The 18,237-nt window shown below is 40.1% G+C and overlaps 1 protein-coding gene across 20 annotated transcripts in view, besides 2 other annotated features; it reads left to right on the top strand.

Moving 5' to 3' along the window:
* The window catches only part of ANKRD44 (ankyrin repeat domain 44), a 343,767-nt gene that overhangs the window by 158,878 nt on the left and 166,652 nt on the right, over positions 1–18,237 (top strand). For all 20 annotated transcript variants that reach the window (NR_160034.1, XR_923062.3, XM_047446287.1 and 17 more), the window contains 2 exons: positions 4,798–4,876; positions 15,241–15,311. Coding sequence is in view for 18 of the 20 variants with exons in the window: in XM_047446287.1 (XP_047302243.1) it covers positions 4,798–4,876; positions 15,241–15,311 (150 nt within the window). In the remaining 2 variants the exon portion in view is untranslated. The remainder of the gene's footprint in view (positions 1–4,797; positions 4,877–15,240; positions 15,312–18,237) is intronic.
* Positions 6,136–6,295: an enhancer, noted in NCBI's record as "active region_16916". NCBI's record gives its function as "activates an Ori minimal core promoter by ATAC-STARR-seq in GM12878 lymphoblastoid cells {active_cell/tissue: GM12878}" and the evidence as "EXISTENCE:reporter gene assay evidence [ECO:0000049][PMID:35858748]".
* Positions 13,902–14,485: an enhancer, noted in NCBI's record as "NANOG hESC enhancer chr2:198002142-198002725 (GRCh37/hg19 assembly coordinates)". NCBI's record gives its function as "activates a minimal SCP1, AML or CMV promoter by ChIP-STARR-seq in naive H9 embryonic stem cells {active_cell/tissue: H9 hESC(naive)}" and the evidence as "EXISTENCE:reporter gene assay evidence [ECO:0000049][PMID:30033119]".

Below are 18,237 nucleotides of genomic sequence, written 5' to 3'. Positions count from 1 at the left end.
TGGGTTTGGGGGAAGTATTCACCAAGATATTTTTGTCTTATTGCATTTGATACGTTCACAAATCATTTAACATCATGGATATCACTATTTGCCACTTCCCTGCTATTGTTTTTATTCTAATATCCTACATTTAGAAACTGATCAGTGGACTGCAAGTTTCTTTAGGGTTAGAGGGCTAGATATTTTAAATTTTGTATCCCTAATGTGTACCACAATGTCTGGCATATAATAGATTCTAAATAAATATCTATGTCTAGATAATATGGCTGAATAAATGATTGTAAAACGTAGCCCAAAGTTCCTGTGCTTATTTTTCCTTTCTCCTCCCCTTTCTTTTTTTATTCTTTGAGTTTGATCCCTCTTAGACCAAAATTTTAGATGCTGTCTAGCATCATGTTTTGGTACTGCTTTCCATAATACTTGCTTCATTATCTCTTCCTCCAAATTTTGTTTGTTTTTCAAAAATAGTGGGGGTGTTCCCCCTTATGCTTTGTCCTTTGTGTCTTAAGTTATTTTAAATGTCATCCCTGTTCTCCATCTCATTCTTCTGTGATCTCAAATTCTTGCTGGTTCTTCAGTCTGCTGACTCTTGCTTATGGTGAACGTTTCCACGTGAGTCTTATGGCTTAGGCTTGTGAGTTCATTTTCAATGGAGATTTAATCTGTGGGTGTCCCAGGTTGACTGGATTGAGGGCATATCTATCCAGCTAGGTTTTGTTTCTTCTTCTAGGGACCTTAGGGGTATCATTGGTCTAAAACCCATTTTTTTTTTTTTTTTTGCATATTTTCAACTTGAAAGTTCCTGGATTAAAAAAAAAAAAGTAAATTCCCAGACTATACAGGCAATGTGAATTCAAAGCTCTAAACCACATGAGGGCAGACTCTGGGGATGTGAATGCTCAGTGGAAACATTTTTATTCCCCTACCAAGAACCCGGGACAAGGCATCTCTTTGCCATCTGCCTACGTGAGTGTTTGTCATTGTTTTTTTCCAAGTCCACTATTTCACCTCAGGAGTCTTTCTTCAAGGCCACTTCAAGGGTCTTTCTTTGCTTGGAGGTCGCAGTTCTAGTTCTCTGCCTTATCTCTCACTGCCTGCAAGTGTTAAGCCCCAAGCCCCTGGTGTATTGACCTATCCCTGCACTCTAAGTTCATGTGCCTGCGGCTTTGGTTCTCTATTTACCCTCCATTTCTGACCCCTTTCTATTTAATTTCTTCTCAGTTCATTTAAAATGATGTTTACCGTATGTTCGTCACATTTTCCTCCTGATTTCTTAGGGATCATAGTAGAAGGGTTTTTAGACTATCACATGAACTTCTAAGATGCTCTTGCTTTCATTTTTTTTCTTTTTTTTGAGATGGAGTCTCGCTCTGTCACCCAGGCTAGAGTGCAGTGGCGCGATCTTGGCTCACTGCAAGCTCCGCCTCCCGGGTTCATGCCATTCTCCTGCCTCAGCCTCCCAAGTAGCTGGGACTACAGGCGCCCTCCACCATGCCCGGCTAATTTTTTGTATTTTTTTGTAGAAATGGGGTTTCACCGTGTTAGCCAGGATGGTCTCAATCTCCTGAACTTGTGATCCGCCCACCTCAGCCTCCCAAAGTGCTGGGATTACAGGTGTGAGCCACCGTGCCCAGCCCACTTTCATTTTTATAAAGAAAAAAGTTTCAGGTTGGGAGCCAGGACACCTAATTCTTTGGCATCAGTTTGCTGCGTTGGGTTAAGTCATACAAACTGTCCTAGGCTCAGATTCTTTATCTTTTAAATGGTGATAATAAGACTGAAGAACACAGTTGTAAAAGGTGTGACTCCTCTGATAGGAATGTTTTGAGATGGAGTAGTAGAATAGTTGAGCAGATATTTGGAAAAAATAAAAATAAAAGCACTTCATAATAACCAGCTAGATTTGTTTCTTCTTCTAGACACCCTAAGGATGTCATTGGGCTAGAACCCATTTTAACCAGTATTATTACTACTATTCTCTTTTCTCCAGAACCTTCGCCCTCCTTCTATTCCATCTCCTATTCCATTAGTTTAGCTTATGGCAAAGTAGAGTGGCCTTCTACCTAGGCAGAGGACATAGTGCTACCTCCTGGCTGATTTCTCTCTATCCAGCATGGTGATTACTGTGGCTCGGTCATTCACGCTTTGACTCATGATCAGGTGTTCCTTGTTAGAAGAGAAGACGTTAGCAACCCTTGGTCAATAGTGGAAATGCACTATTATGTTGGTTAAGGTCTTAATAGCACTTGTGATTGTTTCTGTGGTTCTGCTGCTTTGGAGAACTAAAGGAGTACTGCCTGAATACAAGTCTTCTCTGCAGTTACCTGTCTGTGCCATGTCACTAAAGGAGAGTATCAATTCGCATAGTTATTCTGGAAACTACCAGAAACCTTTAAGCACATATTAACAGGAACACTGGGATTCATCATCAAGAATTTTTACAGTATTCATGCAACACACCCTTTTTATGTTATAGAAACTTTGGTTTGAACAAGCTGTGCCATAAAAGGGGCCACAGAATCAGCAAAACCAGTCATATCATGACAGGCCAACCAGATTTGCAAGGTAGGGAGGGATGTTGGAGTTTTCTTAGCTTTTTATTTGAGGCCAAGATCTCAAATAGAGTTGCCTTTGCTTCAGGTCAAATGAAGTCATAATTTGGGTTGGAATAGTCCCTGTTTAAATCACTTAGGCAGGGTTTAATTTGTTGAACCAAACCCTGAAACCAATTCAGTTCACAAAAGAACATGTAATTACATAGCTTTTATCCAAAAATCCCAGTAGAAAATTTTAAGTAGATATAGCGAGGATTCAAAGGGAACATGAGGCTAAAATGGAAAATGCATCTAGGGTTATCAATAGAAATAGAAAACATTTGTGAAAATCTGTTCTCAGCTTATATAGTTCATTGCACAAATTAATACACTTGATTCTCAAATAAGCTAACATGATTTCAAATACTGAATCTTTATTTTCAAAGATAGGGTGATATATCTATAACAAGGTTGATTGTAGTCATATATCGTACTGAATTTTCCAATGCATGCCATTATTTTATAGTTGCATGACTGCCCTATTTTCACTTTTCCATAGTAATTGCCTGCAGCCATACATAGACAACATGAGTTTCCAGTGAATCCAAACTCCTTTTTGTCTACTTAATGGTAGTGCATTCTTTATAAAACCTACTTACCAGACTTTCTAAAAAATAGACTGGTTTGAAGATCAATTCTTGTTGTGTCCCCTGCCTGCCATCTGTTTTAGATATTAGTGAGTCATGAAATGTCTAAAAGCAATAATCTGTGAGAGACAGAGGAAGAGCAGAGGGTCTGGACTGTCAGAAAATGGAATAATATCCTTGGGCTAATCAAGGGTTGTTAGATGTATTATATAATCAAATTATGAAAGGAATAATGATTAAAATCAACAGCGAATCCAAGAAACTTGAAACTAACATACATGCTAGTTTTAGGAGAAACCTTAAAGACATAGCAGATGGGCTTTGGTTACCATTGCTATGGAGGAGTCAATAGAAGTTAGTGGAAGAAACCATACGTGTAGACTAGTTAGTTCAGCCAATTTATGCTGAGCACCAAGTATGCTGCTACTATGGGGATAAAGAAGAGTGAGGCCGGTTCTTTACTCCAGGAAGTTTTCAGTCTTTGGAGGAAAGATATCACACAACTCTCTATGCCAATGACAATAATGGGCTTCGTATGGAGCACTGCTGTGCACTTATCTCCTGCTTGCCTAGGGCTTTATTTACTTATATGATCTTTAGTCCTCTTATCAGTCCTCTAAGGTAGATTTTATTATCGCCAATTTACAGATGAGGAAGCAACGCTTTTTTCCCTTGCATGTTACCATGCTGCCTTTCAGCACAATCTGTTCAATGCCTTGCCAAAGATACAGACTGAAGTCTGCTGGGTGAAGGTCAGATCTTGACTGTGCTATATACCTGTGGAATCTTGAGGAAATTTTAAAATTTGAGCTACAGTCTTCTTATCTATAAAACAGAGATAATATCAACCTTAGCTCTCAGCCTTAATGTCAACATTCTCAGAAAGGCCTCACTGACCACTCTTATTCCCATCTCCTGAATCACTTAATCCCATACGGTGTTTTATCTGAAATAATCTCATGTGTATCTAGTATACTATTGTCTAGTATACTATTGTCAGCCTTCCCACTTGAATGTGAGTTTCATGAGGGCAGGGACCAGGCCTGTTGTAGTCATCCCTCTGTCCCCAGAATATGGTTTCTGGCATAGAGTAAGCATTCAGTAAGTATTTCATGAATGGGCAGTGGTCCAAACAACAATTAACAAGCATAGAAAGGAGAAAATGACCACAGTTATGTTTAATGTTTAATGTCCTTGTGAACCATTCCACTATGTTTCCTTAGAAAGAAAATAAGTCATTGAAAGCTTTGAACTATATTGCTATGGTAGGTTAGATTTTTTTTTTTTTTTTTTAACCATCCTGAAGGTTTGGAAATACTGTAAGTTGAAATTCATCATCCAGGGCATAATGATCCATCTATGACCTCAGCTGGGCTTCAGTAAAAGCAGCAAGTGGGCAAATACCAAGCACAGACACAGAAAATGGAATGCTTTGTTATGTGTAACTATAGGGTATGTTGAGAGAAAATGCATAACCAGAAGTTACTCGAATGTTTGGTGTTCACACTCTTCCACATGCATTAACCACAGAGTGAGTGACACGTCTTACTATGTCTACAAAAGGGACCTCCAGCTGCCACTGACCTGTTGTATGTCTTTGACGTTGTGTATTTCAGGATTCTGAGAAACGAACCCCTCTTCATGTGGCCGCATTTCTGGGAGATGCAGAGATCATTGAACTCCTGATTTTGTCAGGTAAATAACTGCTATACTCAAAAGTCAATTGCAAATAAAAATTTAAATAACCAATTTACTAGATTGACTACTACAGTGAACCCAAGCAAAATTCCTTTGTTATGTTCATGGAAGTTTATGTGATAGGCGATTTTATCATTACACAAAGAAAAATGCAAGAAGTTGTTCTTATTGAAAAATGACTTCTCCAGTAACATTTTTATCTTGCTTTGAAAGTCTGATTCCTGGCTGTCTAGTCAGGCCCAGCATTGTAGATGAATTCAGTACATTTGGATATATTTTGATTTTTTTATTATACAAAAGGAAATAAAACTAGTTTAAAGTCTACATGAACATACACCTATACACACTATGTATAGTGAGTATATATACACACTATGTATAGTGAGTATATATACACACTACATAAACATGCTACATAAACACTATGTATAGCATGTATACACTATATACTCTCTCTCTATATATACATGCTATATAAACACTATGTATAGCATGTATACACTATATATGCTATTATATATGCACACTGTATATATGCCATATATATATGCACACCCTAGATTTATATGCCAACTAAATGTGTTTGTATATTTATATATATTTAAGTTGGGCTGCAAAACAATACTGTTATACTTATGGATACATGACTGTGACTATGTGATGAAAGCATAAAAACATGGAAGGCAAGGAACCATATTGATTTCTGGTTAGTGGTTACCTCTAAGTAGGCAGGTTAAGTAAAAAATGTCTTCAGGGAAGGCTATAAAAGAACTACTACAACTCTCTGTAAAATATTTTATGTTTAAAAATTTAGAAGGGAGTATAGCAAACATTTAAATCTGATTTGTGTTTATACTGGTCTTTGTGATGCTATTGTCTTTATTTTTCAATGTATTTTAAATATTTCATCAGATTTAAAAATGCCAGTGGTTTAATTTTTGGAAACCTGTATGCTCAGTATATCTCACCAAACAGGTTTCCAAAACCATTATATGCTTTCTCCCTTGAGTGTTTACTAGACAAATCCTGGAATGAATTGAGCATGTGCAGATGTCTCACTGTAGATTATTCACAGACAAGCTGTCTTTCTTCTTCCTCTTTTATGTTTGGGAGATTAACATCTAGAGGAAGTGCCACTGCCTACAGACTAGTCAAAAGGCCTATAGTAAGTTTTCGCCTTTGTTTGCAGTAAGGAAAGGGGAACTGTAGCATCTTAAAGTAAGCTCTGCAGAGGTAGGAGCTGAGACATGCATTCAAGCAGATGTGGTGAACACTGTGGACAAGAAACAAGAATTGTGCTGTGATGCATAAGCAACACGGCCCTTATTTTGTTGTGTTCATGTTCTTGAGGTGGGTTTCCCCAGGAAACAAGTGTTCTGTGCCTCAAAACACGTGTGCCCCACGCTCCTGATGGTCACATGGAGCTTAGGTTAGATTTCACATGGCATTTCTTGTGCTTTTGAGAATAGGCCTTTCTTCCAACAAATCTAAAGATGTCCCAGGGCCATGTTCCAAACAAATGTGTATTGTTTGGTGTTGGCACAGACTAAGGGCCAATGCACACCTGGCTGGTTGCCCTGGCAATTGCAATTTGGCCCGTGGAAAATTGTAGGCAGAATCAGTGGAGGTATAAAATAAAGAACTTTGTGGTATGACATCTATTGGTCCCCATCAGCTATACCCGCCTCTTTTTTATTTTGTATTTTATTTTATTTATTTATTTATTTATTTTTGAGACGGAGTCTTGCTCTGTAGCCCAGGCTGGAGTGCAGTGGCGTGATCTCAGCTCACTGCAACCTCTGCCTCTTGGGTTCAAGCGATTCTTCTGCCTCAGCCTTCCGAGTAGCTGGGACCACAGGCGCGTGCCACCACGCCTGGCTAATTTTTTGTATTTTTAGTAGAGATGGGGTTTCACCATGTTAGCCAGGATAGTCTCGATCTCCTGACCTTGTGATCCGCCTGCCTTGGCCTCCCAAAGTGCTGGGATTACAGGTGTGAGCCACCGTGCCCAGCCCACCCACCTCTTAAATGTTGTATTAATAGACCTCTCAGAGTCTCAGAGGAATGTTTCATGAATGTACAAATTCAGAACTTTGTCTTATATGCCAACTTTGTGTTGTTGTTGTTGTTTCTACATCTGAAAGGGGAGATTTTAATTCTGCAGCATGAAGTCAACCAGTCTCTTTTTTTTCTTGTATCTGGGGCCAGTGATTGTTTGACAAACATGGTTTCACATCACCTTCACAAGGGCATAGAATCCACCAGCCTCTCTTCAACTCTGGCTGATTTAGTAGAGCTGGGAGAAGCTGTTGCATATATTTTAATCTATTCACTTGTTTGGTCTTGGAATTTCTGAGCTCTTAATCTCTTTAGCATAATTTTGGTTCAATGTGCTATGGAAAATTTCCTCCTCCCTCTCATCAAATTAAGAAGACTTAGGGCATGGGGAGCATTGGGAAAGTTTTCTTTTTTAGCAATTTTATTTACCTGTGGAAGCTGAGGCAAACTCTTGGAATTCACTTGACTTTTATTTTCCCAAAAAGTCCTTTACTCAATTTATATATTAAGTTCATAATATTGCAAGAGCATGATGATTTTATCTCTGAGCTTGTGTCTGGCAGCTGAGCCTTTAGGGAATCCAACCAAACTGTTTCCTAATTTAATAATGAATGAGGTGCTAATGATTACCATGTTGGACAAATAATTCGGCCTTGCCAGAACAGCCCATTATAGCTGTGTTCTCCATTGTTGTATTAACCTACAGAGCATGGTGTAACCCAAGCTTGCTAAATTCCTGCTGGCATTATCTCCTGTTAGCCAGGTGGATAGAACCCTGAATGCCTCTGAGCAGACAGGGAAGACAAGGTCTTGGCGAAGAATTCAGCCCTTGGAAATTTCACTTTCTTACAACTGCCAGTCCAGGGTCTGGCTTTATTTCCCTCCTGACTCTAGCTTCTGTTTGGGAACTGGTCGAATCTGGATTAAGTCAGAGAGATCAGTGAGAACCAATCAGTGGCTAAGAGTTAAGATACTGGGGTTGAGATATAGAAAGCAGAGTGCACAGAAAAAGGACCACAGTAGAAATATCTTACAAAGGCTAGGTGTGGTGGCTTAAGCCTATAATCCCAACACTTTGGGAGGCTGAGGTGGGAGGATCACTTGAGGTCAGGAGTTCAAGACCAGCCTGGCCAACATGATGAAACCCATCTCTACTAAAATTACAAAAATTAGCTGAATGTGGTGGTGGGTGCCTGTAATCCCAGCTACTCAGGAGGCTGAGGCAGGAGAATCACTTGAGCCTGGGAGGCAGAGGTTGCAGTGAGCTGAGATCGCACCACTGTACTCCAGCCTGGGTGACAGAGTAAGACTCCATCTCCACTATTCACAATAGCAAAGACTTGGAACCAACCCAAATGTCCAACAATGATAGACTGGATTAAGAAAATGTGGCACATATACACCATGGAATACTATGCAGCCATAAAAAATGACGTGTTCATGTCCTTTGTAGGGACATGGATGAAATTGGAAATCATCATTCTCAGTAAACTATTGCAAGAACAAAAAACCAAACACCGCATGTTCTGACTCATAGGTGGGAATTGAACAGTGAGAACACATGGACACAGGAAGGGGAACATCACACTCTGGGGACTGTTGTGGGGTGGGGGGAGGGGGGAGGGATAGCATTAGGAGATATATCTAATGCTAAATGACGAGTTAATGGGTGTCGCACACCAGCATGGCACATGTATACATATGTAACTAACCTGCACATTGTGCACATGTACCCTAAAACTTAAAGTATAATAATAATAAAATAAAAAAATAAATAAAAAATAAAAAAAAGACTCCATCTCAAAAAAAAAAAAAAGATCCTACAGAGAAAACTCTGAGGACAAGTAAGGATTATAGGGTTCTGGGTTGAAAGAAGAAAACTGGAAGTACTCTCTAATGCGGGAGTGTTTGTGAGGCATAACTACTAAGTAAAATTTATTAGAATTTATTTTTTAAATTTTAATTTAATTTACTTTTTTTTTTTTCTTTTTTAAGATGGGGTCTTGCTAGGTTGATCAGGCTGGTCTCGAACTTCTGGCCTCAAGTGATCCTCCCATCTTGGCCTCTTGAAGTGCTGGGATTACAGGCATGAGCCACCACATCTGGCCATAGAATTTATGCAACCCAACAAGTGGTAGTCCTGCAAAATTATTCCCAAAAATTTTCAAAATGTGCTTCTTACTCTCAATGCAAATTATTTCCAGAGCTGGGGGCACATCATTCTTTTGATTCCTTATGCATAACAAATATTCGTCCTTTGAGGATGAATTTGATATTTTTTATCTGGTGAAAGAGGGGTGATTAAACCAGGCAATGCTGATTTTGGCCTACAAATGTGGTGCAATTATAAAGTAATAAGCCATTTTCTGGTGGGTGTGTAAATTGGCCATAAAGGCAACTCCAAGGAGAGTTTGTTAAATGTTTTGAGCAATTGTCACGTTCATGGAATTATCATACCCTCTTCTATGGTAATTGTTTTGAAGCGCTCCTGTGCTGTATGATTTGGTTTGTTAAAAAAATCAATAGCAAGCTGATTTTGTTATATTATAATCATATTTTTATGACTTTTCATGTTTACTTCAACAATTAAAAGCCAAACTTTAGATAAGTTAAGCTTGGGAAGAAATTATTCTCTTTGGCTTGTGAGATTTTTCAGTCACACTCAGTCCACCCTTATCACACCACTTCCGTTTTCTTTATTCTACTTCTTTCTAGATGACATGGCTTACAGAACAGAAATATTGCCTCTGGAAAAGATGCCCAGAGTTCACTTCACCCCTGATCTCTATGAAAATAAAATTAAGAGGTAACAGGGATAAGATGAAGAACATCCTTAGTTTGTAATTACAGATCATGTCTGATGGATTGGGCCTTTGTTTCTGAAGAATCAATATACCCTAGTGCTTATTTTCATGTTTAAGCTTTAACATGTCCTTGGGTACAAAAGCATTTGCCTTTAAATCATTAGACATGCAGACTGTGTCCTTCAGTGCACAATGGTGCCTGACAGGCAGGTAAATAATGTGAAGCTTCCTTTAGAAAAAATCAGCTATAAATATTCAATTCATAGCCAAAACCATCTGACATCTCCCTCTGACATGTAAACAAGACTCTTGAAAGTGTTCAGAGGAAGAGGATGAGGAAGCTGGCAGCAAGAGATGACACTGATGAAATGCTTCTTGCGTCTCCATTCAGATAACTCTGGTTTTGTTATAATAATTTTTGTTATGGGGGAGAGGAGGTTTTCCTGGCAGCTGCCTATTCAACCTCCATGAAAAAGAGAAATGGAGGAATGGAGGACTTAAACACTGACTGAAAGAAGCCATTGCCTACATTTCTAATCACCTTGAAATTTCTCAAGGGACTCTGAAGCTACACGCGAACAATGCTGGTGTCGTTACACCCCGGGTGTGGGTCACTGTATGAGGTTCAGCATGCGTGGGATCATTTTTCTCCTTGAAAGAGTTTTAATATTGAAAGCCAAATTTGGATCTGCATAAAACTAAAAATTTTCAGAATGCGGTATAATAATAATAATGATAAAAGTGTGTAAATATAAATAAGAAAAAACAACAGAAAAATGGGAGAAATATGTAAAGAATATGAACAAGTAATTCTCAGAAAATGAATTACAAATGGCTAGTAATCAAACATATTAGAAGATGTCTAACCTTATTGTTAGACCAGAAACTAAAACAAAGAGATGCTCTTTTTTTCAATCAGATTTGTATGTATGTATGTATGTATTTGAGATAGAGTCTTGCTCTGTCGCCCAGGCTGGAGGGCAGTGGCATGATCTCGGCTCACTGCAACCTCCACCTCCCAGGTTCAAGCGATTCTCCTGCCTCAGCCTTTTGAGTAGCTGGGATTACAGGCGCCTGCCATCATGCCCAGCTAATTTTTGTATCTTTAGTGGAGACGGGGTTTCACCATGTTGGCCAGGTTGGCCTCGAACTCCTGACCTCAGGTGTTCTGCCCACCTCGACCTCCCAAAAGTGCTGGGATTACAGGCATGAGCCACCGCGCTCGGCCTATTGATTTTTAAAGCAGCTTTATTGAAGTATAATTGATATACAATAAGCTGCATATATTTAATGTCTACAACCTGATGAGTTTGGACATATACAAACACCCATGAAATTATCACCACAATCAAGGTAATAGACAGAGATGTCTATCTCTGTCACCTCCAAAAGTTTCCTCGTGTCCCTTTGTTCTTGTTATTTTGGGGTTTTTTGGGATGTGTGTGTGGTGAGAACACTTAACATGAGATCTACCCTCTTAACAAATGTTTAAGTGCATAATACAGTATTATTGACTCAGATTTGCAATATTTAAAATGTCTAGCTGGGCATGGTGGCTCACATCTGTAATCCCAGAACATTAGAAGGCTGAAATAGGAGGATCACTTGAGGGCAGAAGTTTGAGACCAGCGTGAGAAACATAGCAAGACCCCATCTCTACAAAAAATTTTTAAAAATTAGCTGGGCATGGTGGCATGTGCTGGCAGTCCTAGCTACTCTGGAGGCTGAGGCAGGAGGATTGCTTGAGCCCAGGAGTCTGAGGCTGCAGTGAGCTATAATGCCACTACACTCCAGCCTGAGTGACAGAGTGAGACCCTGTCTCTAAAAAATTTAAACAATATATTTTAATGCCTGATAACATCAAGTGTTGATGAGGATGTGGGGAAACTAAGCAATCTTATACATTCTGAGGGTGTGAACCGGCACACTTTAGAGGCTTTACAGGACCTTTTGAAACTGAAAGTGTGTATTATCTATGACACATAAAGTCCATTTTAAATTATTTATCCTAGACAAATACTTGCACCTGAGGCAGGTAGATCACCTGAGGTCAGGAGTTCAAGACCACCCTGGCCAAAATGGCAAAACCTTGTCTCTACTAAAAAATAAAAAAAATTAGGTGGGCATGATGGCAGGTACCTGTAATCCCAGCTACTTGGGAGGCTGAGGCGGGAGAATCGCTTGAACTGGGGAGGCAGATGTTGCAGTGAGCCGAGATCGCACCACTGCACTCCAGCCTGGGTGACAGAGCAAGACTCCGTTTCACACACACACACACACACACACACACACACACACACACACACACACACAAAAGCAGCTTAGTCCCCCCTCCCCCATTATTTTCATTAAGAAACATAAAACTTCAAATGCACTAGCTTTCTTGAAAATATTTTGTTAGAAAATATTTCAAACATACAGAAAACTATGGAGAATAATATAGTGAATATCCATATACCTTCCACTAAGTTTTAGGAACTCTTAATATTTTGCCATATTTGCTATATATATATCTATATCTATATCTATATCTATATATTTTTAAGGAAATAAAACATTGAAAATACAGTTGCAGCTGTATGGGTACTCTTACTTCATTCCTTTTCACATTCCTCTTTCCCTAGACGCAGTCACTATCCAGAATTAGTATTTATACTCCTTAGCCATATTTTAAACTTTTATTTTATATCTATGCATCCATAAACAACATATAGAAATACAGCTGGTATTATGCCATAGGTATAATTCTGCAGCTTGATTTGTTCATTTGGTGTTATGATTTTAAAAGTACATCTGTTTATATATACAGAACTTCAGTCTGTTCCTTTCCATGACAGTGTAGAATTCCATTGTACGGGTATACCACAACGTCGTTATCCATTTTCCTCTTGATTGACATTTAGGATTCCAGTTTCTTGTTGACATAAACATGTTGCGGTGCACCTTCATGTACATGTGTGAGAGTTTCTCTAGGGTATATGATTGGGGTGGAATTGCTAGGTGGTTGGGCATGCATGTCATCAATTTTACTAGATAATGCCACATTGTTTCCCAAAGGAGGTTGTACCAATTCACACTCTTGCCAGCTGTATGTTAAGTTTTCCTGTTGCTCCATACCCTTGCCAAATCTTGGCCTCGTCACACTTTATCATTTTTACCTATTTGATGGATGTGAAATGGTATGTAAATGCTGCTTTCATTTGCTTCTCCCTGACGAATTTTGAGAAGTACCTTTCCATATGTGTCTTGACATTTGGGTTTCTACTTGCATTCATTTTTTGAATTTACAAAAAATTTAAAGCACAAAATTTACTCTGCCAAAGACTATAATAAAAATAATTCCAGCTCTCTAGGACTGCATATGGTCTGAGTGATGTTTGTGACATGGGTGCCAAAGAAACAGCCCCAAAATAAGAAATACATGTGCACTCGGCTTACTAGACAGAAACACAGTGTGGTCAAATCTACCACACAATGTGGTCATACATATATTTATTTATGATGCAAGAAAAGTCCTGACGTAAAGGCGGGTAATTTTAAAAGGTTTGAATCCAGAGTGTTGGAAGATCTGAAGGGATAAATGCTGTGTTGCTAAACCAGAAAGGTAGACTTTGTGACCATCACCTGACACTGTGTTGGAACTAATATTTAGAAGAAGAAATCTGAAGTTTGGTTTTGGTAGTGGTAATTTTATTTTAAAATTAACCAATTTTGCTGTTCTTAATCACATCTGGATTTTCTTCTCCCTAGCATTCTCTAGCACTTGAGTCTCTCTTGCTCTTAAAAAGATATGTATTTCTACAGTCTCTAGGTGATGGTTCTTTGTGTTCTTAAAGTTCCTATTTGACTTCTTCCTTTGTAGGGCAAAGATCATGCCTTTCACTTCCTTTGGAAATCTGAGTCATAGATTTAGAGGTGAATGAGACATTGGAGGTGATTTGGAAATAAGAACTGCTAATGTTTTTCTAGTGCCTTGCAATTTACAAAGCACTTTCCTATTCACTTAATTCTCCTTAGCACCTGGTGAAATGGGTAGAGAAGTATTATTACTGTTGTTGTTAGCCTCGCTGTGCAGATTAGTGGCTCTTGGTCATTGGGCCAGCAGGTGCTGAAATCAGAACTCAAATCTACATCTTCTGACCATGAATCCCACTGTCCTTCCAAAACCGCATTCATTTCATGCCACAGCATTTAGCCCACAGCTTCCTGTTACTGAGGCCAGAGATGCCTATTGATTTTTGCACACCCAAACTGATTTTACTGTGGTCCTTACTGACGTAAGGAGCTTGAACTCCTTCAGGCAAGCTGGTGTTAGTGGAATTAGGATTTAAATAATTTTAACCTGGATAAATTAAGCAACAATTCATCAGTGGCTCTCAACTTTGACAGCATAGTATGATAACCCTTGTACCTGACTCCATCTGAAACCAATGAAATCAAAGTGGAGGTTGGATGGGAGGCATTCCAGCTGTCTTTGTTTTAGGGATTATGTTCTTGTTTTCTGTGATTAATGCTGTTGATGGCATTTGTTCTTCTTCAGTTAAAGAAAAGAATAGTGTAAGCTCTATGATTTGTTATTTACTTTTAGCCAGTGCCTTAAACTAAACCTCTAGTTCACGTTTACGCATGGAAGTCCACTGCCTTTTAAAAAAGTTTCTATTTTCCAGCTATCAGCTGGCCTTAGCCTCTTGGAGATTAGTCAGCTCCTGCTTCCCCTTGACTCACTTTCTCAGCCCTTGTCCTGAGGCGCCACCTCTGTGTTTCCTTTTCTCTGCCTTACTTTCTAGTTTCTTTGATTTGTTTCTCCACTCTCTGTCCTCATGAGCTCCCTTCCTCATCATCCTAAGGCTAGAATTGACTTCTCTTGCTGCTTCTACAAAGATACACATATTTTCTCCTCCTCTCCTTTCGTAGCCCTTTTATAAAACATCCCATCTCTGACCAGAAGACTAATCAAAACCCTGAACCCCCTAAAAGGAAGCTTATATCAGATGTCTTAGCTGTTCAGACATGGACTTGGTGGGCTGGTGATCATGGAGAATGGCGAGGGTGTCATGGAAGGCGGGTGAACTCTGCTTCCTGTGAATTCATTTGCAGGGAGCTTCTGTTCCATGATGATGGCATGGCTTCATAGAGCTGAGCATGGGCACTCTTCTGAGTGTGAGCTGGTTTTGGCTCATGCTTGAGCCTATCTGCCTACCCCATAGTTTGAGAAAGTAGTGAGCAATTTATAGGCCTGATGTCCTATCTATCCAAAAGCCTCATGGAAACTGACTTCTTTTTACCAAAATATCTGGCTAGTCCCAGATTTTTAGGTAAAGCAGATTTCTTCTGGTCCCCTCAGCCTTGATCAAATCTTGTCAGCACATGACTAATACAAAGAAAAGAAGAGGTGGTGGTTATGTCAGGCAAATGGGAGCAAGATACAGCATTTGATTTAACGTCGGCAGGGCTTCCCTTGACCCCATTATGCCTCTAACTTGTGCTGTTTGATTCCAGGAGCTCGTGTAAATGCCAAGGACAACATGTGGCTGACTCCACTGCACCGGGCTGTTGCTTCCAGAAGTGAAGTGAGTGATTACCATATTTAATCTAATACCTACTGTGCCTAGAAAAAGAAAAAGTCTTGCTAGCGAATTAAGAATCCTTACTGGTAAGCAGAAGGCTTTTACCTCTAATGTAAGAGGGTTACCCAAAATGAACAGCTTTTATTTGAGTATCTCCTGTGTGCCAGACATAGTGCTGAGTGGGGCTGGGGAGTATCTGGGGTAGTTCAACATGGACAGCATGATCCTGAATTTCAATGAGTTCTCAGCCTGGGGAGGAGGCAAAGCAGAAAGCATATCATTACAATATCATCATTGACTTGCGGGAGAAAGCAACTAACTGCCTGCTTGAATAGAGGAAATCTTCCAAGAAGAGATGTCAGTTGATCTGGTCCTTAAAGGTTGAGTAAGGACTTAGCAGGCCAGGAGAAGGAGGGAGGACTGAGGCAAGGAAGTGAGTGAATGGGGGCCTCAGTGAGGTATAACTGGAACTCAGGCTATAGTAGAAGGTAAATCTGATAGTGGAGGTTGGGCCAGATGGCAGAGGGCTTGGAATCCTCTGAGCAATGGAGAATGGTCACAGCAGGGGAGTGGTATGCTCAGATCTGTGTTTCAGAGAACCTTTGTGGTGGCAGCATGTGAATGGGCTGAGGGGGAGAGGTCTCAGGGAGGAGCGCCAGTAAGAGACCAAAAGAGGCCTGAAGCAGCTGGGATGAGGGCATAAAGCTGAGTCCATGATTTGAGAGCTCATTAGAGGTAAACCTGGCAGGATTTAGTACCTAGTAGGGGTGAGGTGGGAAAGAAGCTGGTAGGTAAATGGCGATGCTGTTAACAGAAGAGGCACAGAGCAGGGGAGCAGGGGCCGGGAGGCTGGTGGGTCCTGTTTGCTAACGCTGAGTTCAGCAAACATGTCGTTGGAGTGGGAGCTCCATGAGGACAGGGATCTGTACTTTGTTCCTGGATGTATCCCAAGCCTGGTACAGTCTAGGCATCCAAGAAATAATTTGTTGTTGAATGCTGGAAATTCGGGTGAAGATGACTGATAGATTATCTATAATTATTTATACAAGTCTAGCACTCAGGGACAGGGAGGATGATCATCAAACCATGGTAAATGCATCAGGTAGCTCAGGGGAAGTATAAAGGATGAGAAGATCAATGTGAAGGCAGGGGTGGCAGGGAACCCTGGTGAATGTCAGCCTTGAAGCCTGGTCAGAGGAGATGCCCATTATCCAGGGATACAAGAGGTTCAAACCTTGCATGCACTTGGTGCTGGATGACTGACCTCCATAGCTGAATTTACCAAATGCAGCTTCTCCTCTGCTACTGGAGAAGGTGATGTTCTCCAGGTACACCTAGGAGCAAAAGGTCTTGCTGAGAATTAATATACAGAAGTTGCAGGTGTCTTTGGCCGTTATTGGTGTCAGCTTTTCCTCTTTGGCAACTATCTGGAAATTTTAATATATACTTGCTAGGTGACAGCTTAGTAGTCATGGTTTTTCTTGCTGCGCTTTGTGATTTTAGTAGGTTTTAAAAGGGGTTGGTTGTGTTCTCCTTCCAAATATCCCGCATGGAATGAGAGAGGTCAATAATCCTAAATTGCCTGGCTCAGACCCTGGAGAATTCAGAATCTTCTCATGGTCCCACATTTTATTTCCATTTTGTCTGGGAAAACGAGGGCAGTGAGCTGACTGAGTGGGTATTACCAGCTTCATGAGACCAACCCCTTCATAGAGGAGTATTTCCTGGCCTTTTAAGACCACTTGGTCTTTAGTAAATTTAAGTGTCTCTTTAAAAATATGTATGGATTTGTTTCCTCTTCAACAAGAACCAGGTCTTTTTAGTTGGGAAAATAATTCAATATGTACCTCCCATATGCCAGGCACCTTTTCTTTGTAGCTCATGGAGCTACAAAAAAAAACTAAGACCGATGGTCTCTGCCCTTAGGAAGTGTGTAGTCTAGTGGAAAAGAAAGACACAAAAAAGATGATTTCATTACTCTGTGACCTTTCCCAAGTGATCTCTATCTTTGTTAGCTCAACTAGCTTCAAAGACTTCAATCCTCAAAACATCCATTTTCCATCAACAACCAGTCTGCATTCTGTAAGTATCTTTAGTGTGTTTGAATCCAGTCAGCCTAATGATGGACTGACCTTCCAATCTGAGAAAGGCTTTTGTTGCTTCTCCAAGTAACCAGCTCCCTCTGTAGGTTTGCAGGGAGGAAAAAAGAATCACTAGCCAGATAGGAATTAAATGCAAACAAACCCTGAACTGTAAATAATTGGGTCACATATGAGCTCATGATGTCTTCATATTAGTATCTGTCACAGCAAGTTGGACAGTTTCTTATGAAAATTGGAGTCTCGGCTGGGCGCAGTGGCTCATGCCTGTAATCCCAGCACTTTGGGAGGACAAGGTGGGTGGATCATGAGGTCAGGAGTTCGAGACCAGCCTGACCAACATGGAGAAACCCCGTCTCTGCTAAAAATACAAAATTAGCTGGGCATGGTGGCGCATGCCTGTAACCCCAGCTACTCGGGAGGCTGAGACAGGAGAATCACTTGAACCTGGGAGGCAGAGGTTGCGGTGAGCCAAGATCACGCCATTGCACTCCAGCCTAGGCAAAAAGAGTGAAACTCCATCTCAAAAAAAAAAAAAAAAAAAAAAAGAAAGAAAAAGAAAAGAAAAGAAAGGAAAAGAAAATTGGAGTCTCTGTAACCATTGTGAGAGCTGACGGTGGAGAAGACATCTTAACTCCAAGCACATTGCTGTCCTGTGGAAGTCCTAAATTCAGATTTCCTTCTTCTTTGGAATTTAGTCTTATTGCCATTATTTTATGCCTCTCCTAACTAATAGTTGGGGAAAAGAAAGTAGATTTGAGGGGAAGAAAAGAGAAGGTTTGGACTGGTATTTTGGAATTTAACTGTTAGCACTTGTCAAGATGGATATA

Source organism: Homo sapiens, chromosome 2 (assembly GCF_000001405.40).
Source record: "Homo sapiens chromosome 2, GRCh38.p14 Primary Assembly".
NCBI lineage: Eukaryota > Metazoa > Chordata > Mammalia > Primates > Hominidae > Homo > Homo sapiens.
This window is presented reverse-complemented; position numbering and strand designations above follow the sequence as displayed.